Source organism: Homo sapiens, chromosome 2 (assembly GCF_000001405.40).
Source record: "Homo sapiens chromosome 2, GRCh38.p14 Primary Assembly".
Classification (NCBI taxonomy): Eukaryota; Metazoa; Chordata; class Mammalia; order Primates; family Hominidae; genus Homo; species Homo sapiens.
Window position 1 is genome coordinate 97,156,812 of NC_000002.12, and position 24,744 is coordinate 97,181,555.

The following is a 24,744-nucleotide window of genomic DNA, read 5'->3' on the forward strand; positions in this document are numbered from 1 at the left end:
GTTGAACTAGTTTACAGTCCCACCAACAGTGTAAAAGTGTTCCTATTTCTCCACATCCTCTCCAGCACCTGTTGTTTCCTGACTTTTTAATGATCACCATTCTAACAGGTGTGAGATGGTATCTCATGGTGGTCTTGATTTGCATTTCTCTGATGGCCAGTGATGGTGAGCGTTTTTTTCATGTGTTTTTTGGCTGCATAAATGTCTTCTTTTGAGAAGTGTCTGTTCAAGGACATACATTACTCTTTCGAATTCTGAATAAAAATCCTTTCTCCAGGTGTTAAGTTGCTGGAATTTTATTGGTTTTTGTTTTTTTTTCCTCTCTCTCTCTCTCTCTCTGTTTGTAGTAAGAATGTTTCAGCTTTCAGGTGAATGATCATGGTTAATTCTTGGGATGTGTTATTTTATAGTAAACAAATTAAACTTTTTATTACATAAGTATTTACACAAAACAAATTGTCGAATAAATGCTAACCAGTATTATTAGGCATATATTATGAACACAAGCTTTTCTTTTAAGCTCATATTTGATTGACTGGTCATGTCTCTTTTTTTGTTTGTTGCTCCCTCCTTCCCCTTTGTTTAAAAATAACTTACCTCAGTCTAATATTTTCCTTGCAGACCGCATGTCTTTAGTGTCTATTCTTTCATTTCACCTCTGTTTCTGTTGTCAGGATACTTAGTTACAACTTTCTATTTAGTAACTATGTGTGGCCTTCATTCATGAATCATTGCTCCATAAGGTGGATGGTTGCTTTGTTCTGTCTTTTTTGGAAGGAGCGGAGGTTATACAATAATTTGTTTTTAGCTTTTGACACACAGAATAGAAGCAACTTACACTGTTTAAAGATAGTACTACTAAAAACTACATTCTCACATTTTTTCCCGCAGAAAGTAATTCACACAAATATATATCATGCCTAAGTATTTTGAAAAATAAAGTGATTAATTGACTTTTTATTATTAGTTTTGTTCAGTCATACTCTAAATTACAGATGAGTAAATTTTTTTCCCAGTTTGTTGTGGTTAATAAAAGAAACTAATGGATATCATAGTATTTGTATAATAACTCAACTGGGGTTGAAAGGAGTAACATTTTGAGAATATCTGTATCACCAATCATAATCATCATCCCATGTGAATATGTAGATAAGTAAATGGCAGACTTGAGGTTTGAATCTACATATGAGTGACTTCAAAGTCCATCCTTTTTGTGTTAGATCATGTAGTAATGGTGGCAATTATCATTATTTTAACTTGCTGCATGTTATTCTTAAACCTATTGTGTCTTCTAGAATATTTCAGAACCATACTTTACGAACAGAAGGACTATTTCTCAACAATCTGCAGAAAATTGTAAGCTATTTGAAACCTGACTATTATATTATCTACTGAATCTTTTTTTTTCTTTCTTTTTCTTTCTTATTTTTTGTAGACAGAGTGTTACTCACTGTTGCCCAGGCTGGAGTGCAGTGGCATGATCTTGGCTCACTGCAACTTCTACCTCCTGGGTTCAAGTGATTCTCCTGCCTCAGCCTCCTGAGTAGCTGGGATTACAGGTGTGCACCACCACACCTGGCTATTTTTGTATTTTTGGTAGAGATGGAGTTTCACCATGTTGGCCAGGCTGGTCTTGAACACCTGACCTCATATGATCTGCCTGCATTGGCCCCCCAAACTGCTGGGATTAAAGCTGTGAGCCCCCACACCCGGTTCTTATTTCTTGATTCTTAATTACATGCATTTCATCTACTCTTGACTTTGTTTTTACTGTAGTAGATGCTGCATGTGGCATTGACAAAACAGAAAATGGAAACATGTTTGAAGACCAAAATGTTGATAAGGTAAATGAAGATGTGGTTAAAAGCCAACATAGAATAATCAGAGTCCAGTCCTGTTCACCAACTCACTCTTATCTGTTAATGATCTTTAGTTTTACAATGGTAAATTGTTTTATTTGGAAAATATTTTTCCCGTGCTTTATTCACTTGCCATCTCCCTGTCTTTATAACGATGACAAGGATCCTATAAAGGAATGGAAGTTCTCAAGGTAATAATAGAAAAGAAGTGTGACAACAAGGGAAATGTATGCATGGGACTAGGATTCCTAAAAGGTCATGGGAGTAAATGATTCTTAGGTTTGCCATTAGGGAAGGAAAGAAGTAGAAAGCAACCTGAAAGAACAGCTCCACAAATACAAAGGTGAGGAGGGGAAAGAAGTAAGAATACAGAGTTGAATAAGAGTGTCAAGATGACAAAGATTAGTATAAAACACCTCAAAAACAGTGAATTTAAATGACAGTAGAATGTCTCCATATCAAATTATAGAATTATTTTAAATATAGATTAAGAAAAGAAAGCCAAGTAATTGAAAAATTCTCAGATTCTTCTGAGTGACTTACGGGTGATTTTAATAAAGGATTGGAAGAAAATTTATGGGTGACTGTATTTAACATTCTGTTTTACATTTAAAAATAGCCAGGAGAGAATAACTTCAATATTTCTAGTTTAAATAAAACATACATATTTAAGGTAATGTGTATCTCTGTTACCCTCATTAGATTATATAGATGGATCAAATCATCACACGTACACTGAAAATATATGCATCTATTTATTAATTTAAAAATTCTAAATGGAAAGAAAATTTCATCCTCACTTTTTTAAATTTCAGTAAAGTGATGTCTTATATTTTATCTAGTGAATGCTGTGTTCATAGATAATGCAAAATAAAATGTGTTTTAGGCTATATCAGATTTTGAATGAATCATTACTTTTTGACTCTTGTTAAAAGTTTTTTAAAGTAATATTTGGTATACTCCTAAGTTGCTTAACTAATTTATTTCACTTTTCCATAATCTTGGAGCTGTTTTAGCCTTTTTTGATAATAAGAGGGAAAATAAATAAGTAATTAAATAATAAAAAATAATAAAAATTAATTAATACATAAATTAATAAAAATTAAAATTTCTGGTTAATTTTTTTTTTTGAGACGGAGTCTCGCTCTGTCGCCCAGGCTGGAGGGCAGTGGGCGATCTCGGCTCACTGCAAGCTCCACCTCCCGGGTTCACGCCATTCTCCTGCCTCAGCCTCGCGAGTAGCTGGGACTATAGGCGCCCGCCATCACGCCCGGCTAATTTTTTTAATATTTTTAGTAGAGACGGGGTTTCACTGTGTTAGCCAGGATGGTCTCGATCTCCTGACCTCGTGATCTGCCCGCCTCGGCCTCCCTAAGTGCTGGGATTACAGGCGTGAGCCACCACGCCTAGCCATTTCTGGTTAATTTTATAGGAGGTTTCTAATTTATATTCATTGAATGAGAAAAAATATATTTTTAACCTGGAACCCTCTTAAAGAAATAAATTATTACTTATTTCTGGAGCTAGTCTGACTTACCTTGTGCTGATAACATCTGTACTTAAGAACATACATGTGATGAATGCAGTCAACACTCATGATTGTTTTCTAAACAAAGTACCTATTTTTATAGAATCGTAAGGAAAGAAATATTGCCAACAGAGTACACAGAATTATCTCTGGAATATTACTTTTTACTTTTAAAATTATCTCCTACAGTTGGGACATTTTGTGTTATTCTCTGGAAGCATTATTAACTTTAGTATTTATAGTTGTTATACCTTGCACATAAATTTATTCAGCTCTAAAGCTCAGGAATCCTTTTGACTTGATGTTTCAAATAAATTTCTTCTCTCTTCATGTGAGTATTGGGTCCTGACTGACAGGCATAGTGTATTTGAAGACATGTAAATCTTCAGCTTGCATGGTGACATGATTATTTTACTTGATCCTTTCTCTGATTTTTAACTATTATCTTTATGGCATAAGTAGGCAATTAGAGCTATTAGTATATCATTTACAGGAGAATCAGAAAACCATATGAACTTTAAAATAGGTTTTACATTTCTCTCTTATATTTTAGTAGTACTTAAAATGCCTTATAATTCCATAATAGAATAAACATTCATACAAGTTAAAAACTTTTAAGATGATTTTTTAAAAATGAGCTTTCTTAGGATAACTTGAATTATTCCTTTAGATAACTGTTTTCATTAAGTTCAAAAGTGCAGATGACCATAATATTCCAGAAATAAATGTCTGCATACATTAAGAAAATATATTTTATATCTTTTAATCCAGTATAGAAATATATAATTGAAATTTTGAATCCCATATTTTGTTTTCTTTTTATTTTCAAAACTTCAGGGTTCTTCATAGGTTTAAATTATCGAATCCTACCAGTTTAGTATATTTTACAAATGTTGACCTTCTCAACAACATATGGTTTTTTTGAGTAAGGTCATCTATTTCTACTCCAAATGTATTTACCCAGATCAGTCTTCTAAGTCCCCTTTGTGCCTCAAATTTGACAGGTCTCAAACTGCCTTCCAGATTCTTTCCTGACTCTTTGTAATCTACTCTGTCATCTGGCTTCCCAATTTTAGTAAATAACACCAAGAAAGTAGCAATGAAACATTGAAGCAGAAAAACTGCACTCCAGGTTTCCCTCACATTGCCAATCCAGTGACTCACCAAATTTTGTATTTTCTACCTTTAAAATACCTTTAAAATACCTTTAACCATTTCTCATATCTTATTACTGTAATACACTGTCTGCCCTATACTTTTGGAATGTTCGTTTTTGTTTCTCTCTTCTCCCCATGTTTATCTGTATATGTCTTTCAGGGTGACCTTTCTTAAACATGTTTACTTTGATCTAACTCATCTGCTTATGGCTGGACCCTCATTACACGAAAGAAACATTTACATTCTAGCATAACACTTATTTTGCGGTTTGGCCTGTTTCTCCCATTTTATCTCTCCACTCCACTTTCTCTGTCTGTGCCCAAGTTTTACCACGTTATTGTGGTAGTTCTTATTGGCTATGCTGTTTCATTTTTTTGCACATGCTGCCCTCACTAGAAACACTTCACACTCTTAGTCTTCACTTGTCTATTTTAAAAATAGGACCCTAAATTTGCAGTGTCTCAGAAGCTTCCCAAGTAGAAATAAGTGTTATTGCCTTTGTGCTGTCACTGTATTTTATTGACTTGAGTTGTAGAAATAATGAATTGTGTCTTTCTGCTTTTGTTTTTATAAGTTTCTTTTTTCACTTGATAAATAAATAAAATTAGTATTTTATTCATATTATCAGATTTTCCAGTATAGACCTTATGAATTTATAGACACAGAAAATGTTTCTTGAATTACTGACTGATTGAGTAGTAAATATAACATTTTCTGAAGATTTCTTTTTTTTTTTTAATAGGAAGGAAAAGCACTACCAGCAACTGGACAAAAAGCAAATGGTATTGGTATTATAAAAAGTGCTCCATGAGAGCAATGAAATAATGATAATGTTATTTTTTGTGTACAAAGAAACAAAGGTGGTGAGGTAGTGAATATAGCTGAATAATTTTCTATGCTTTAATATAATTTTTGAAAATAAATATAACTAATTTAAATATAATTTAAAATAAATTTAAAATTAAATTAATTGTTAAATTACATTAAATTATAAGCCTAATTTTAATTAAATTATAAATATAATTTATTAATTTTTAATAGTAAATATAATTTAATTTAAACATACTTTTTCTTAAAACTTTGGTGAACACTTAAACTTGTAGATCAAAATATAATGTTCATTGTTGAGAAATGGACATTAGTATATTTACAAAAAAATGTGAGGTGGGATGGTGTAAATTAAGAAAGCAGCTGGCTAGGTAATTTGGAGGTTTCTGATGAGGAAACTTGAGGGAACTCACTTTATGTAGACTCAGTATATTCCCACTCAAAGAGAAGATTAAATTATTGCTGCTTTGGAGCTTACTGGAAGCAGAGGGTAGAAAAACGACAGGAAACCACAGGAACTCATTTCTTCTCTCTATAGGGGTTACACATCAATGATATGCGCTTCATTCATGTTTGTTAGTGAACTGGGATGCACTTGGATATCAAAACATTGGCAGTTTTCTTTAAAAACAGTGCTGTTTTTGATGAAATAGCCATTGTATAAATGTACCTCAGAGGCTGCTATGCTATAGCATATCAAACTGACTTTAGAAAAAAACAAACGAGAAATTTCTTTCTTGAGTACTAAAAGTGTAACTGTCAATAATCATGGCAAATATTTTGATAGGTAAAAGTTGATTAAGCCGGGCACGGTGGCTCACGGCTGTAATCCCAGCACTTTGGGAGGCTGAGGCGGGAGGATCATGAGGTCAGGAGATGGAGACCATCCTGGCTAACATGGTGAAACCCCATCTCTACTAAAAATACAAAAAGTTAGCCAGGCGTGGTGGCATGTGCCTGTAGTCCCAGCTACTAGGGAGCCTGAGGCAGGAGAATCACTTGAACCCAGGCGGCGGAGGTTGCTGTGAGCCGAGATTGTGCCACTGCACTCCAGCCTAGGCAACAGAGCAAGACTCCATGTCAAAAATAAAAAAAAGAAAGTTGATTGTTATGAAAAAAAAGTCAATGGTGATTCAGAGATTTTTGGTTACATTTTGTAAATGAAAATCTGAGTACTCATTAGTTATTTGATGTGTAATGCATACTTTTTTTTTTGCATAAGTGAATGAAAAGATGGCAAGAGAACTAAAGTTGAGAATCCAGAAGTTGAAAATATCAGAAGCCTTCATGACTGTGGATGACATGAGTATTTTTAGAAACGATTTTTCTCCAAGTAGATATCTAAAGTAATGATTGAGAGCATTTCCTGCCAGCAGAAGCGAATGATACATTTTCTTTTCTTTTTTTTTGAGACGGAGTCTCACTCTGTCACCCAGGCTTGAGTGCAGTGGCGGGATCTCGGCTCACTGCGAACTCCGCCTCCCGGGTTCACGCCATTCTCCTGCTTCAGCCTCCTGAGTAGCTGGTACTACAGGCGCCTGCCACCACACCCGGCTAATTTTACGCATTTTTAGTAGAGACGGGGTTTCACCGTGTTAGCCAGGATGGTCTCCATCTCCTGACTTTGTGATCTGCCCGCCTCGGCCTCCCAAAGTGCTGGGATTACAGGCGTGAGCCACCGCGCCCGGCCGCGAATGATACATTTTCATGCACTCTCATTGCAACTTCATAGTTTCTAACATTTATTCTTCTGGGGTCCGCTTTGGTTCTCTCATTTGACGTCATCTTTTTTGGCTTCATCCAGCTGATTCACATTGGTAGAAATACTTTTCTATGTTACTTGTAGTCATGTGAAACCTAATCTCACCCTTGCAATCTGGACTGCATGTTTTATAGAATCTATATTGTGATTTTTCATGTGTATATTCCTGTCATGTTTGTTTGCTAACCAAAACAAGAGCAAAGCAACCCAAAGCCTAATGGGTAACAATTTCAAGGGCAAGCACGAAGATTTCAGCTGGATACAAACACTGCATGATTGATGGTAGGCTGTGTCATATTTACCTGTAGTCAATTATGTGTTCCTTTTGCTTTGTAGTGTCTCCTGAGCAACCGCCTTTATTCACGGTAAACATATTTTCTTTAATTATTAACAAAATGCTCTGTGATATATACATGATATGTTAATCATTATGTTGTCAAACCCATTCAGCATACGGTGAAAGACAGAGATCACATTTCAACTAGATTCTTAGGAGGTATGGATTCACTAACTTCCAGTGAAGGTAAATTTGCCGCTACAAATTTCGTTCTAGAAAATGTAGATGAAAATATTGAAAATGCTCATAGTTTTTTGATTCCCACTTTTTATCCAAGTGAGATGGAAGGATTTGATGTAAATATGCTGATGTTCTTGTTAATATCTTTGTTTATAAAATGATTTTTAAGGCATAAGGCGGACATTTTACACGGTGAGCTCTAGCCCAAATGCTTTTCCTTTAAAGTTGTCATCAGCTAAAGATCCCAGTTTTGAATTCCTGTGCATGTTAGGGATTTGAGGAGGTGTATTTTGACACTAAATATTTTCAGTGCTTCAAAATTGATTGCAATACTCTTCTGTCTTCTTCATCTAGAGAAAAGCTATACCTGCTGACTTTACAATTGTTTTAGAACTTCAACGCCTTTATTTCAGCGTTGTTACATTGAGAATCTTAATCACATCTTCTGATTACCGGATTGAGTTTCTGCATGTGTGTGTGTGTGTATCTCTGATTAAAAATGAATAAAATGATTAATCATTCTTTTGTAACTCTTTGGTAGATACAGTGTTTTAAAACAATGATTCTGAGCTGTTTTGGCCTTAGAATATTTTCTTCTACTACTATTTATTGCCTACAGGTAACCAACAGCCTGAATTAACGTTTTTACTTTTAAGTCACTGCAATGCACATTAAAAATACTTTACAAGATACTTGCACTTTCATAGGTAATATGTGGAATCTGTTTCCAAGTATCAAGTCTTCTATACGATTTCACACAGTGTACATAATAGCTGCAACTCGGCTTTTGTAATCAGTGGAATATATTTCAGATCTGTCCAGGTTGACACAGTTTGGTCATCTTTGATTTGTTTTATGACTGCACCACATATTTGATTTGTTTTATGACTGCACCACAATTAATTAAAATCTCTTCATGCTGATACAAAATGAACATAAATATGATGACATACCAACATAGATTTGCTTATGTGGTTGCCTTTATTGATTTGTACTATAAAGAAATTAAATAGAAGTATTTCAGATACCCCGAGTATAGCTGTATACACTGCCATAGCTGAAAAACTCCAGTGTATGCTTTTCAGAGAATGACATTGGAAAGAAGAAATGGCCAAAGTATCATTTGGTACCTTGGCTTCCTTACATAGATGATGAACTCCAGGAATGATCAAATCACAGTTTAGAACCCCTTTGTTGGGCCCTATAAAGGGTTTCCAGGTGTCAAATGATAGTCTCCAGATAAAGAAATGCTCTATAATGCCTCACCGCTGTGTTTTCCTGTATTTTGTGCTTTTCTGAAAACTTTAAATACATGAATTTTTGGTAGAAATGAAAATCTTTCTGTTTTATATATTTGTTTCTGTCCATGGCACTCTGATCTCTTTGAATCTGGTAAGGATCTAGCCTTGTCTTATTTATACCAGCAAGCAGTGTTGTCACTTAATGCTCTCATTTTTCATGTAAATGACTGACATTTTCCCAAGTCTTCACAAGTGATTTCTGAAGATGTTGCTGCATTGAGCAGAGACTATGTCATTGTAATTGCAGAAGTTTTAAAATTAAATATGTTTAATAAAATTTTAGAGTTCTGTTTATCTGGAACACATAACACATAATGGTGTAATGTGTATTTAACCATAAATTAGCTTCACAAAAAGTTTGTGTACATAAAAGTGTTTATATCCAAAGAAATTCTTATTTACTGCTCAGTAATCTCTTGTGTAGAAGAAAATATGTAACATAGTTTGCTGAGTCTTTGATAATAACCCTCATGTAAAATAAAGCCGTAAAGATAAAATGAGAGTTGATACTCGATGAAACTGATGTGAGTGAATAGAAACTATGAAACTGTGTCTATGGGAGAGAGGAGGACATGGGGCTGCTGTTGTGAAGAAGGAATTTGTACAAGTTAGTCCATTTTCTGTAACTTTTATATTCTAATAAAGGAAAACCATATCTTCATATTTATAAAAATGAGATTTTACTGGTTTGATCACAGGGGTGGTGAGAATAATGAAGAACAAAATGTGGAAGGCAAAGAATGAAGACCAGATAGTGAGATTAGATTTATCAACAAAAAAGAGTACAAGTGGGGTGGGATGGTGTAAATAAAGATAGCAGCTGGCTAGGTGTTTGGGGGTTTCTGATGAGGAAACCTGAGAACACTGACTTTATGTGGACCTGGTATATTCGCACTCGAACAGAATATTGGATTATTGTTGCTTCAGAGATTAATGGAAGCAGAGGTGGAAGAATGAGAGTAAACCACAGGGACTCAATTCTTCTCTCTGTAGGGGTCACACAGCAACAATAGGACAGGTGCTTCATGTTAGCAAAATGTGATGCACTGCATGTCAAACTGACTGTGGAAGCAAAACAATCAAGAAATATATTTCTTAAGTATTATTTATTTATTTATTTTATTATTATACTTTAAGTTTTAGGGTACATGTGCACAATGTGCGGGTTTGTTAAAATGTAACTGTCGATAATCATGGCAAATATTTTGATTAACATGAAAAAAGCCTCTGATGTTTCAAATATTTTGGTTAGATTTGTTTTATGGGAATCTAATTACACATTAGGTATTTGGAGTGTAATGTATACTTTTTTGCATAAGTGAATGAAGAGATGGCAGGAGGGCTAAAGTTGAGAATCCAGGAAATGGAAAAACACCAGAAGCGTGCATGACTGTGGACAACATGAGTATTTTTGTTAACTATGCTTCTGTATGTAGATATCTGAACTAATGAACTGAGAATACATCCTGCAAGCAGAAGTGAATGATAGATTTTAATGAAATTGATAGTTTTTAAGTTAGAGGACAAAATGAAGAACAGGAGAACTATTGTAGTATTATAGTATAAATGGTTCTTGGGTGATTTTCTTCAGGGTACACCATAGTATTCTACCATGGGCTTTGACATTTATCCTTCTGGGGTCCTATTTGGTCCTTTCTTTTGACATCACATTTTTTGGCTTCAGTTAAGAGGATCACATTGGTAGAAGTACTTTCCTGTGTTAGTTGTAGTCATGTGAAACCTAATCTCTCTCTTGAAATCTGGACTACATGTTTTATGAAAACTTAATTATGTGTCCCTTTTGCTTTGTAGAATCTTCTGAGCGACCTCCTTTATCCACGGTAAACAAATATATTTTCATTTTTAATTAACAAAATGCTTTGTGATATATACATGACATATTAATCATTATGTTGTAAAACCCATTCAGCTTACTCTGAAAGAGGCAGATCCCAGTTCAAAAGCAGCCATGAGAAGGAAGGATTCACCACCTCCAGGAAAAGGTAAATTTGCCAATACAAATTTCATCTGGAAAGAAGGACATGAATATACTGGAAATGTTCATAGCCTTCTGATTCTTACTTCTTTTACCCCAATAAGATAGAAGGATTTGATCTAAATGATGCTGATGCTGTTGTTAGTGTCTATGCTTATAAAATGATATTTAGAAGAACAAGGAAAAGAAATTTTAAAAATGTGAGCTCTAGCTCAGATGCTTTTCCTTTTAGGTTGTGATAAAGATCCCAATGTGGAATTTGTGTGCATGTTAGGGGTTCAAGGAGATGAATTTTGAAACTATAAATATTTTTCAGTGCTTCAATTTCTGGTTGCAATACTGTCCTTTACCTAGAGAAAAGCTATACCAGCTGACATTACAATTGTGTTAGAACTTCATCTTCTTTATGTCGGTGTTGTCACACTGAGAACCTTCGAGTCTTCACCCAATCACATGCTCTGATTACCAGCTTGAATTTCTGCATGTGTATGTGTGTGTGCGCTTTTGTTTGTGAGTTTGGGTGTGTGTGATACCTCTGATTCTGGAAAATGAATAAAGTCATTAATCATTTTTTCGTGACTCTTTGGTAGATACAGGGTTTTAAAGCAATGACTCTGAGCTGTTTTAGCCTTAGAGTCTTTGATACTACTACAATTCATTGCCTACAGGTAACCAACAACCTGAATTAATGTTGGTTTGTTTGCTTTGTATTATACCTTAAGTTCTGGGATACATGTGAAGAACATGCAGGTTTTTTACATAGGCATACATGTGCCATGGTGGTTTACTGTGCCCATCAACCCATCAGCTACATTAGGTATTTCTAATAATACTGTCCCTCCCCTAGGACCCCATCTCCCTGACAGGCCCCGGTGTGTGATGTTCCCCTCCCTGTGTCCATGTGTTCTCATTGTTCAACTCCCACTTATGAGTGAGAAAATGTGGCATTTGGTTTTCTTTTCCTGTGTTAGTTTGCTGAGAATAATGGTTTCAGGCTTCATCCATGTCTTTGCAAAGGACATGAACTCATCCTTTTTTATGGCTGCATAGTATTCCATGATGTGTATATGCCACATTTTCTTTATCCAGTCTATCACTGATGGGCATTCGGGTTGGTTCCAAGTCTTTGCTATTGTGAATAGTGCTGCAATAGACATACATGTGCATGTGTCTTTATAGTAGAATGATTTTTAATCTTTGGGGTATGTATTCAGTAATGGGATTGCTGGGTCAAATGGTGTTTCTTGTTCTAGATCCTTGAGGAATCACCACACTGTCTTCCACAGTGGTTGAAATAATTGACACTCCCACCAACAATATAAAAGCGTTCCTATTTCTCCACATCCTCTCCAGCATCTGTTGTTTCCTGAGTTTTTAATGATCACCATTCTAACTGGCATAAGATGGTATCTCATTGTGGTTTTGATTTGCATTTCTCTAATGATCAGTGATCATGAGCCTTTTTTTCATGTGTTTACTGGCTGAATAAATGTCTTCTTTTGAGCATATCCTTCACCCACTTTTTGATGAGGTTGTTTGTTCTTTTCTCATAAATTTGTTTAAGTTCCTTTTAGATTCTGGATATTAGCCTTTTGTCAGATGGAGAGATTGCGAACATTTTCTCCTGTTCTGTAGGTTGCTTGTTCACTCTGATCATAGTATTGGAAGTTCTGGCCAGGGCAATCAGACAAGAGGAAAAAATAAAGGGTATTCAAATAGGAAGAAAGGAAGTCAAATTGTCTCTGCAGATAACATGATTGTATATTTAGGAAACCAAATTGTCTCAGCCCCAAATCTCCTTCAGCTGATAAGCAACATCAGCAAAGTCTCAGGATACAAAATCAGTGTGCAAAAATCACAAGCATTCCTATACACCGATAAAAGACAAATAGCAAAATCGTGAGTGAACGCCCATTCACAATTGCTACAAAGAGAATAAAATACCTAGGAATACAACTCACAAGGGATGAGAAAGACCTCTTCAGGGAGAACTACAAACCACTGCTCAAGGATATAAGAGAGGACACAAACAAATGGAAGAACATTCCATGCTCATGGATAGGAAGAATCAATATCATGAAAATGGCCATACTGCCCAAAGTAATTTATAGGTTCAATGCTATAGACTACCATTGACTTTCTTCACAGAATTAGAAAAAACTACTGGAAATTTCATATGGAACAAAAAAAGGGCCCATATAGCCAAGACAATTGTAAGTAAAAAGAACAGAGCTGGAGGCATCACGCTACCTGACTTCAAACTACACTACAAGGCTATAGTAATGAAAACAGCATGGTACAGCTACCAAAACAGTGATATAGACCAATGGAATAGAACAGAGGCCTCAGAAGCAACACCATACATCTACAACCGTATGATCTTTGACAAACCTGACAAAAAGCAATCAGTGGGGAAAAGATTACCTATTTAATAAATGATGTTGGGAAAACTGGCTAGCCTTATGCAGGAAACTGAAACTGGACCCCTTCCTTACACCTTATACAAAAATTAACGGAGGCATCACACTACCTGACTTCAAACTATACTACAAGGCTACAGTAACCAAAACAGCATGGTACTGGTACCAAAACAGAGCTATAGATCAATGGAACAGAACAGAGCCCTCAGAAATAACGCTGCATATCTACAACTATCTGATCTTTGACAAACCTGACAAAAACAAGAAATGGGGAAAGGATTCCCTATTTAATAAATGGTGCTGGGAAAACTTTCTACATAGCCATATGTAGAAAGCTGAAACTGGATCCCTTCCTTACACCTCATACAAAAATCAATTCAAGATGGATTAAAGATTTAAACCTAAAACCATAAAAGCCCTAGAAGAAAACCTAGCCATTACCATTCAGGACATAGGCATGGGCAAGGACTTCATGTCCAAAACACCAAAAGCAATGGCAACAAAAGACAAAATTGACAAATGGGATCTAATTAAACTAAAGAGCTTCTGCACAGCAAAAGAAACTACCATCAGAGTGAACAGGCAATACAAAATGGGAGAAAATTTTTGCAACCTACTCATCTGACAAAGGGCTAATATCCAGAATCTACAATGAACTCAAACAAATTTACAAGAAAAAAACAAACAACCCCATCAAAAAGTGGGCGAAGGACATGAACAGACACTTCTCAAAAGAAGACATTTATGCAGCCAAAAAACACATGAAAAAATGCTCATCATCACTGGCCATCAGAGAAATGCAAATCAAAACCACTGTGAGATACCATCTCACACCAGTTAGAATGGCAGTCATTAAAAAGTCAGGAAACAACAGGTGCTGGAGAGGATGTGGAGAAATAGGAACACTTTTACACTGTTGGTGGGACTGTAAACTAGTTCAACCATTGTGGAAGTCAGTGTGGCGATTCCTCAGGGATCTAGAACTAGAAATACCATTTGACCCAGCCATCCCATTACTGGGTATATACCCAAAGGACTATAAATCATGCTGCTATAAAGACACATGCACACGTATGTTTATTGCGGCACTATTCACAATAGCAAAGACTTGGAACCAACCCAAATGTCCAACAATGATAGATTGGATTAAGAAAATGTGGCACATATACACCATGGAATACTATGCAGCCATAAAAAATGATGAGTTCATGTCCTTTGAAGGGACATGGATGAAATTGGAAATCATCATTCTCAGTAAACTATCGCAAGAACAAAAAACCAAACACCGCATATTCTCACTCATAGGTGGGAATTGAACAATGAGATCACATGGACACAGGAAGGGGAATATCACACTCTGGGGACTGTGGTGGGGTGGGGGGAGGGGGGAGGGATAGCATTGGGAGATATACCTAATGCTAGATGACGAGTTAGTGGGTGCAGCGCACCAGCATGGCACATGTATACATATGTAACTAACCTGCACAATGTGCACATGTACCCTAAAACTTAAAGTATAATTAAAAAAAAAAAGTGTTCTGTAAAAAAAAAAACAAAAACAAAAAAAACAAAAATTAACTCAAGATAAATTAAAGACTTAAACGTTTAAGTGAGACCTAAAACCATAATAACCCTAGAAGAAAATCTAGGCAATACCATTCAGGACATTGGCATGGGCAAAGACTTCATGACTAAAACACCAAAAGCAATGGCAACAAAAGCCAGAATTGACAAATGGGATCTAATTAAACTAAGGAACTTGTGCAGTTTTATTTGGGAGTGTGCATGAGGTACCTCTGAGTTTCAAAAATGAAGAAAGTAAGTGGTCATGCTTTCCTGACTCTTTGGTAGACACAGCCTTTTAAGACGGTGATTCTGAGCTGTTACGGTTTTGGGTTTCCTATAATACTGAAGCTTACTGCTGACATGTAATCAAGAGCTTGAATTAATTTAAAAAAATCACCCAAATGCACATTAAAAACCTCTTACAACACATGTGCACATTCATAGATAACATGTAGGACTTGATTTTGTATATTAAAAACTTGTAGAAAAGTTCAGGCAGTGCACTTAATGAATGCAACTTGGTCTTTGTAAAATCAGTGATATATATTTCAGATCTATCCACATTGACCCAGTGAGGTATTTCTTGATTTATTGTATGATCTCATGATATGCCATGTGATGACTACAGCATATTATGCTCTCTTCATGCCGATACCATATAGACTTAAATATGATGACATACCAACATGGATATGCTTATGTGGTTGCTTTTATTGATTTGTACTATATTAGAAATGAAACAGAAGTATTGGAAATCCTAGCAAGCATAGCTGTATCTCTCCCATGGCTGTGTTGATTGCACCTGTTTCCCCCTTAAAGCATGTCTTTTTGACATGTCCTGACTCTGAGAAAATCCAGTGTGTGCTTTTCAGAGACTAACAGTAAGGAGTGGAAATGGCCAATGGTCAAAGTGTTACTTGTCCTCTTGGCTCCCCTTCATGAATGTTAAACTCTAAACTACTCAGATCACAATTTAGAACCCCTTTGTTGATCCCTATAGAGTGTTCCCAGATGTCAAATGGCAAATAGGACTTTGATGAAGAAACACCCCGTAAAGCCATATTGCTCTGGTTTTTGTGTGTGAATGTGTGTGTGTGTGTGTGTGTGTGTGTATGTGTGTGTATTTTTTTCTCTTCTGAAAACTGTAAATAGAGGAATTTTCATTACAAATGAAAATGTTTCTGTTCCATATTTATTTCCTGTCTAATGTACTTTGCTCTTCTTGGATCTAGTAAGGATCTCAGCTTGTCTTTTTTATACCTGCAAAAAATTATGTCAGTGCTTCATTTTTCATGTCAATTACTGACATGTTTTCAAGTCTTCACAAGTTATTTCTGAAGATTTTGGTGCATCAAGGAGAGACTGTCATTGTAGTTAAAGAAGTTTCTAAATAGGTTATATTGAATAAAATTTCAGAGCTTGTTTCTCTGGAAAGCATAGACATAGTGGTGTTATGGGTAGTTAAACATAAAATAGCTCCACAAAGTGTTGTGTACATAAAAGTGTTCATATCCTGGAAAATTCTAGTTTATTGCTCAGTACTGTCTGCTGGAGAGGAAAACAGGTAGGATAGGCTGCTGAGCCTATGATAATAACTCATAATATGAGGTGAAAGCATAGAGACAAAATGAGAGATGATAGATACTCAAACCGATGTGAGTGAAGAACAGCTGTGAAAGAGTGTCTATGGGAGAGAGGAGGCCATGGGGCTGCTTTTGTGAAGAAGGAATTTGTACACGTTAGTCAAGTGTCTGACACATTTAACATTTTAATAAAGCAAAACCTTATCCTCACATGTGTCAGAATGGGATTGTACAGATGTCACATACAGTGGTGGTGAAAATAATGAAGAAACGAATGTGGAGGTCAAAGAATCAAGTCCACCAATATGGATGTTAGATTTATGAACAAAAAAGAGTGTATGTCAAATTGGGCAGGTGTAAACAAAGAAAGCAGCTAGTGAGGTAATTTGGAGGTTTCTGATGAGGAGACTTGTGGGAAGTCGCTTAATGGAAAGCAGAAGCAGAAGTTAGAAGGATGAGGGTAACCCACAGGGTCTCATTTCTTCTCCCTAGAAGTTTTGCACATCAGTGATACATGCTTTGTTCACATCAGATTTTTGTTTTTTGGTTTTTTTTTGAAAGCTGTGTTTGCTGAGGTAGTTATTTTGTAAAAGAACCTGAGAGACCCCGATGGTATATCATGTGAAACTAGATTTAAAAAAAAAAGGAATCAAAGAATGTATTTTAAGAGTACTAAACAGATAACTGCCAATAATCATGACAATCATGACATATGTATATATATGTATTATGTCATATTGGTTGGTTATTTATAAGAAAAGAAGTCTCTAGTGATTTAGAAACTTTGTTTAGTTTATTTTCATAGGAATCTGATTACACATTATTTCATTGATGTGTATGTTTTTGCAAAAGTGGACGAAGAGACAGTGAGAAAGTCGAACTGCTGAATCCAGGAAATGTAAAAACATCAGGAGTCTTCATGAGTATAAATAAAATGATTTTTAAAATTATAACTCTTAGATTAAGTGAACTCACTTCAGATGCATTTAGAATATTTGCATAAGGGATGATTTGATTTTTGGCTGCTCCAGGAACTACTGGAAGCAGGAAAGAGTGATAGAATTGGGATAAACCACAGTGACTCATTGCTCCTCTTTGTTACCATTGGGCACCAGAGGTATATGTTTTGTTGACATTGGTTATTCAAATGAGATAAACGTGAATATGCATACATTGGCTTTGTTTTTCAAGGAGCTATTGGATAAAATAGCAACTTAGATATATAATCATGTCATCTGCAAACAGGGACAATTTGACTTCCTCTTTTCCTAATTGAATACCCTTTATTTCCTTCTCCTGCCTAATTGCCCTGGCCAGAACTTCCAACACTATGTTGAATAGGAGTGGTGAGAAAGGGCATCCCTGTCTTGTGCCAGTTTTCAAAGGGAATGCTTCCAGTTTTTGCCCATTCAGTATGATATTGACTGTGGGTTTGTCATAGATAGCTCTTATTATTTTGAAATATGTCCCATCAATACTGAATTTATTGAGAGTTTTTAGCATGAAGGGTTGTTGAATTTTGTCAAAGGCTTTTTCTGCATCTATTGAGATAATCATGTGGTTTTTGTCTTTGGCTCTGTTTATATGCTGGATTACATTTATTGATTTGCATATATTGAACCAGCCTTGCATCCCAGGGATGAAGCCCACTTGATCATGGTGGATAAGCTTTTTGATGTGCTGCTGGATTCGTTTTGCCAGTATTTTATTGAGGATTTTTGCATCAATGTTCATCAAGGATATTGGTCTAAAATTCTCTTTTTTTGTTGTGTCTCTGCCTGGCTTTGGTATCAGAATGATACTGGCTTCATAAAATGAGTTAGGGAGGATTCCCTCTTTTTCTATTGATTGGAATAGTTTCAGAAGGAATGGTACCAGTTCCTCCTTGTACCTCTGGTAGAATTCGGCTGTGAATCCATCTGGTCCTGGACTCTTTTTGGTTGGTAAGCTATTGATTATTGCCACAATTTCAGATCCTGTTATTGGTCTATTCAGAGATTCAACTTCTTCCTGGTTTAGTCTTGGGAGAGTGTATGTGTCTAGGAATTTATCCATTTCTTCTAGATTTTCTAGTTTATTTGCGTAGAGGTGTTTGTAGTATTCTCTGATGGTAGTTTATTTCTGTGGGATCGGTGGTGATATCCCCTTTATCATTTTTTATTGCGTCTATTTGAATCTTCTCTCTTTTTTTCTTTATTAGTCTTGCTAGTGGTCTCTCAATTTTGTTGATCCTTTCAAAAAACCAGCTCCTGGATTCATTAATTTTTTGAAGGGGTTTTTGTGTCTCTATTTCCTTCAGTTCTGCTCTGATTTCAGTTATTTCTTGCCTTCTGCTAGCTTTTGAATGTGTTTGCTCTTGCTTTTCTAGTTCTTTTAATTGTGATGTTAGGGTGTCAATTTTGGATCTTTCCTGCTTTCTCTTGTGGGCACTTAGTGCTATAAATTTCCCTCTACACACTGCTTTGAATGTGTCCCAGAGATTCTGGTATGTTGTGTCTTTGTTCTCATTGGTTTCAAAGAACATCTTTATTTCTGCCTTCATTTTGTTATGTACCCAGTAGTCATTCAGGAGCAGGTTGTTCAGTTTCCATGTAGTTGAGCGGTTTTGAGTGAGATTCTTAATCCTGAATTCTAGTTTGATTGCACTGTGGTCTGAGAGATAGTTTGTTATAATTTCTGTTCTTTTACATTTTCTGAGGAGAGCTTTACTTCCAAGTATGTGGTCAATTTTGGAATAGGTGTGGTGTGGTGCTGAAAAAATGTATATTCTGTTGATTTGGGGTGGAGAGTTCTGTAGATGTCTATTAGGTCCACTTGGTGCAGAGCTGAGTTCAATTCCTGGGTATCCTTGTTGACTTTCTCTCTTGTTGATCTGTCCAATGTTGACAGTGGGGTGTTAAAGTCTCCCATTATTAATGTGTGGGAGTCTAAGTCTCTTTGTAGGTCACTCAGGACTTGCTTTATGAATCTGGGTGCTCCTGTATTGGGTGCATATATATTTAGGATAGTTAGCTCTTCTTGTTGAATTGATCCCTTTACCATTATGTAATGGCCTTCTTTGTCTCTTTTGATCTTTGTTGGTTAAAAGTCTGTTTTATCAGAGACTAGGATTGCAACCCCTGCCTTTTTTTTGTTTTCCATTTGCTTGGTAGATCTTCCTCCATCCTTTTATTTTGAGTCTATGTGTGTCTCTGCACGTGAGATGGGTTTCCTGAATACAGCACACTGATGGATCTTGACTCTTTATCCAATTTGCCAGTCTGTGTCTTTTAATTGGAGCATTTAGTCCATTTACATTTAAAGTTAATATTGTTATGTGTGAATTTGATCCTGTCATTACGATGTTAGCTGGTTATTTTGCTCGTTAGTTGATGCAGTTTCTTCCTAGTCTTGATGGTTTTTACATTTTGGCATGATTTTGCAGAGTCTGGTACCGGTTGTTCCTTTCGATTTTTAGCGCTTCCTTCAGGAGCTCTTTTAGGGCAGGCCTGGTGGTGACAAAATCTCTCAGCATTTGCTTGTCTGTAAAGTATTTTATTTCTCCTTCACTTATGAAGCTTAGTTTGGCTGGATATGAAAATTGTATATCTAGAAAACCCTATTGTCTCAGCCCAAAATCTCCTTAAGCTGATAAGCAACTTCAGCAAAGTCTCAGGATACAAAATCAATGTGCAAAAATCACAAGCATTCTTATACACCAACAACAGACAAACAGAGAGCCAAATCATGAGTGAACTCCCATTCACAATTGCTTCAAAGAGAATAAAATACCTAGGAATCCAACTTACAAGGGATGTGAAGGAACTCTTCAAGGAGAACTACAAACCACTGCTCAAGGAAATAAAAGAGGATACAAACAAATGGAAGAACATTCCATGCTCATGCATAGGAAGAATCAATATCGTGAAAATGGCCATACTGCCCAAGGTAATTTACAGATTCAATGCCATCCCCATCAAGCTACCAATGCCTTTCTTCACAGAATTGGAAAAAACTACTTTAAAGTTCATATAGAACCAAAAAAGAGCCCACATCGCCAAGTCAATCCTAAGCCAAAAGAACAAAGCTGGAGGCATCACACTACCTGACTTCAAACTATACTACAAGGCTACAGTAACCAAAACAGCATGGTACTGGTACCAAAACAGAGCTATAGATCAATGGAACAGAACGGAGACCTCAGAAATAATGCTGCATATCTACAGCTACCTGATCTTTGACAAACCTGAGAAAAACAAGCAATGGGGAAAGGATTCCCTATTTAAAAATGGTGCTGGGAAAACTGGCTAGCCATATGTAGAAAGCTGAAACTGTATCCCTTCCTTACACCTTATACAAAAATCAATTCAAGATGGATTAAAGACTTAAACGTTAGACCTAAAACCATAAAAACCCTAGAAGAAAACCTAGCCATTACCATTCAGGACATAGGCATGGGCAAGGACTTCATGTCTAAAACACCAAAAGCAATGGCAACAAAAGACAAAATTGACAGATGGGATCTAATTAAACTAAAGAGCTTCTGCACTGCAAAAGAAACTACCATCAGAGTGAACAGGCAACCTACAAAATGGGAGAAAATTTTTGCAACCTACTCATCTGACAAAGGGCTAATATCCAGAATCTACAATGAACTCAAACAAATTTACAAGAAAAAAACAAACAACCCCATCAAAAAGTGGGCAAAGGACATGAACAGACACTTCTCAAAAGAAGACATTTATGCAGCCAAAAAACACATGAAAAAATGCTCATCATCACTGGCCATCAGAGAAATGCAAATCAAAACCACAATGAGATACCATCTCACACCAGTTAGAATGGCCATCATTAAAAAGTCAGGAAACAACAGGTGCTGGAGAGGATGTGGAGAAATAGGAACACTTTTACACTGTTGGTGGGACTGTAAACTAGTTCAACCATTGTGGAAGTCAGTGTGGAGATTCCTCAGTGATCTAGAAGTGGAAATACCATTTGACCCAGCCATCCCATTAATGGGTATATACCCAAAGGACTATAAATCACGCTGCTATAAAGACACATGCACACGCATGCTTATTACGGCATTATTCACAATAGCAAAGACTTGGAACCAACCCAAATGTCCAACAATGATAGACTGGATTAAGAAAATGTGGCACATATACACCATGGAATACTATGCAGCCATAAAAAATGATGAGTTCATGTCCTTTGAAGGGACATGGATGAAATTGGAAATCATCATTCTCAGTAAACTATCGCAAAAACAAAAAACCAAACACCGCATATTCTCACTCATAGGTGGGAATTGAACAATGAGATCACATGGACACAGGAAGGGGAATATCACACTCTGGGGACTTTTGTGGGGTGGGGGGAGGGGAGAGGGATAGCATTGGGAGATATACCTAATGCTAGATGATGAGATAGTGGGTGCAGCGCACCAGCATGGCACATGTATACATATGTAACTAACCTGCACAATGTGCGCATGTACCCTAAAACTTAAAGTATAATAAAAAAAAGCAACTTAATAAAAATTCTCTAGAGAATAACATGATACTTTAACCAGACTATTTTAGAAGTGAAAATAATGTTGAATTCATTACTTGACTCCCAAATGGTTATTTTCAGGGAATATTGGAGTGATTTCCAGATGTAAAAGCTTATTCATATCTAATGCTTGTAGAAACTTTATTTTGTATAAGTATGTCAAATTTGGTAATTTATTACACTTTTTGATGAAGTTTATATATTATACCTTGTTGCAATGAGTGGATGAAGGAACTTTTAGAAGTCTAAACTAGAAGATACAAGAGATGTAGGCACATTATTACATCATATGGGTGTGAGAAATAATGAATATTACATACTAGAATTCACCAAACATATATCCAAGCTGATTAAGTTAGGACACTTCCACTGAAGAGATTTCAACTAAAGTGTCATTATAATTGTGTACCTTCTCACTGATCAATCAAGTTAAAGAGCATGATGAATGTTTGCAGTAAAATGTTCCAAATCATTCTGATATCTTGCATGAAAGACATGCGGATGCGTGTATCACCTGCTTTGACGTTGATTCCCAGGAGTATGAGTTGGACTCTGATTTTAGATCACATTTGTCCTCATCACTCAGCATATCCACATTGATATTGACATGGTTTTATTTTAGTTTTAGACATATGGAGAAAGTCATATCACATATGAAATTGTCAGTGTATATTTCTTGAAGCCTGTATTCCTATTTTCTTCAGTGTATTTCCTTCATGTTTAGTCCCAAGAAACAAAGTATAAAATATCAAAGCCTACAGTAATACAGGCAGGAGTACAAAACTTGATGCTAACATGCTATCCATGCATTTATGTATGGATAACATTATCATATTTACATATGATTGATTATGTATCCCTTTTGCTTTTCAGTGTCTTCTCAGAAACAACCAGCTGAGAAGGTAATTAAAGTCTCATTTATATGTTGAACTATTAACTGTATAGTCTATGAAACCTACTTTACATATTGATTATTTTGCTTCAAATCCCATTCAGGCTACAAGTGACGACAAAGATTCTGTTTCAAATATAGCCACAGAAATAAAGGAGGGACCAATATCTGGGACAGGTAATTTTGCAAAACACATCTAATGTCATGTTCAATCAAGATGGAAGAGAACTTCCCTTACCCAAATAAATCAGTGGGGAGTCCATCTAAGCTGCACGTTCTGATTCAGTACACCTGAGATTCTTCATTTGTAGTGAGTTCTCAGGTGACCCTGATGCTGCTGGTCCTTGGTCATGATCTGAGTAGTAAGATTGTAGACTTCCCTACATTGAAATTGGGAAGAAAAACCATTGGAGAGAAGTTCAACACATACCAGGCTAAGGGAGCAGCATAATTTTGCTTTAATTTTACAGCATGTTTCCATCAAGAGGGAAAAGAGAACGAGATGAAGTAATAGATATTATAGGCATCGTATCATATTGTTATCAACAGAGGGAAAAGTGATCCTAATAACTCCATAAACACTGTAGAACGAGAGCTAAGAAGACCACTGATGTAGCAATTATTTTCCTCAAGGAAGAGGGATTGTGAGGCAGGAAGGAGGAAAAAGAAGGTATTTATGTAATTTTGGGGTTTCTGCTGAGGAAACCTGAGTGAACTCATTTCAGATGCATTTGGAATATTTGCATAAAAGAAGATTTGATTTTGGCTGCTCCAAGAACTACTGGAAGCAGGAAACAGTGCTAGAATCGGGATAAACCACAGTGACTCATTACTCCTCTTTGCTACTATTAGGCATCAGGGACACATGTTTTGTTGACTTTACTTATAAAAATGAGATAAACTTGCATATGAATACATTGGCTTCCTTGTTCAAGGAGCTAACTCTTGGATAAAATAGGTATTTAATGAAACTTCCTTAGAGACTAACATGATACTCCCAACAAGGCTATTTTAGAAACAAAAATGATGTTGAATTCTAATTAACTCCTAAAGTGGTGATTTTCAATGAATATTGGAGTGATTTCTGAATGTAAAACTTATTAATATCTAATGCTTGTAGCAGTTTTACTTTGTAGAAGTATGTTAACATTGGTAATTGATATTTTTATTGAGGCTAATATATTATCGTTTGTTGCCATGAGCGGATGAAGAAACTTTCAGAAGGCTAAACTAGTGGATACAAGAATCTTAGGCAAATTATTACACCACATGGGTGTGAGAAATAATGAATATTATCTACTAGATTTTAGGAAACATATCCAAGGTGATCAATTTAGGACACTTCCACTGAAGAGATGTGAAGAGAACATTTAACTGAATTGTCATCGTAATTGTGTACCTCCTAGTTATTGGGCAAGTTAAAGGGCATGATGAATGTTTGAAGTATAATGGTGTAAATCCTTCTGATTTCTTGCAAGAAAGACATGAGGGATCATATACCACCTGCTTTGACATTGATTCTCAGGTGTGTGAGTTACTCCTCTGATTTGTCCTCATCACTCGGCATATCCACATTGATATTGACACGGTTTTATTTTAGTTTTAGATGTATCACGAATCATACCATGTTTGAAATTGTAAGGGTATATTTTGTGAAGCCTGTATTCCTTTTTTTTCAGTGTATTTCTGTCATGTTCCAGTCTCCAGACAAAAAGTAGAAAACATCAAAGCCTACACTAGTACAGGCAGGAAGATACAGCTTGATGCTAACACTGCATGAATGTATGGATAAATTTATC

The 24,744-nt window shown here is 35.9% G+C and overlaps 1 protein-coding gene across 50 annotated transcripts in view; it reads left to right on the forward strand.

Moving 5' to 3' along the window:
* ANKRD36 (ankyrin repeat domain 36) overlaps positions 1 to 24,744 on the forward strand; it is a 151,369-nt gene that overhangs the window by 43,659 nt on the left and 82,966 nt on the right. For 49 of the 50 annotated variants that reach the window (XR_007074204.1, XM_017004009.2, NM_001354587.1 and 46 more), the window contains 9 exons: positions 1,296 to 1,356; positions 1,777 to 1,844; positions 5,288 to 5,327; positions 7,472 to 7,500; positions 7,586 to 7,658; positions 10,766 to 10,794; positions 10,884 to 10,956; positions 22,927 to 22,955; positions 23,050 to 23,122. Coding sequence is in view for 49 of the 50 variants with exons in the window: in XM_017004009.2 (XP_016859498.1) it covers positions 1,296 to 1,356; positions 1,777 to 1,844; positions 5,288 to 5,327; positions 7,472 to 7,500; positions 7,586 to 7,658; positions 10,766 to 10,794; positions 10,884 to 10,956; positions 22,927 to 22,955; positions 23,050 to 23,122 (475 nt within the window). In the remaining variant the exon portion in view is untranslated. The remainder of the gene's footprint in view (positions 1 to 1,295; positions 1,357 to 1,776; positions 1,845 to 5,287; positions 5,328 to 7,471; positions 7,501 to 7,585; positions 7,659 to 10,765; positions 10,795 to 10,883; positions 10,957 to 22,926; positions 22,956 to 23,049; positions 23,123 to 24,744) is intronic. The other variant, XM_017004022.2, reaches the window with a different exon arrangement.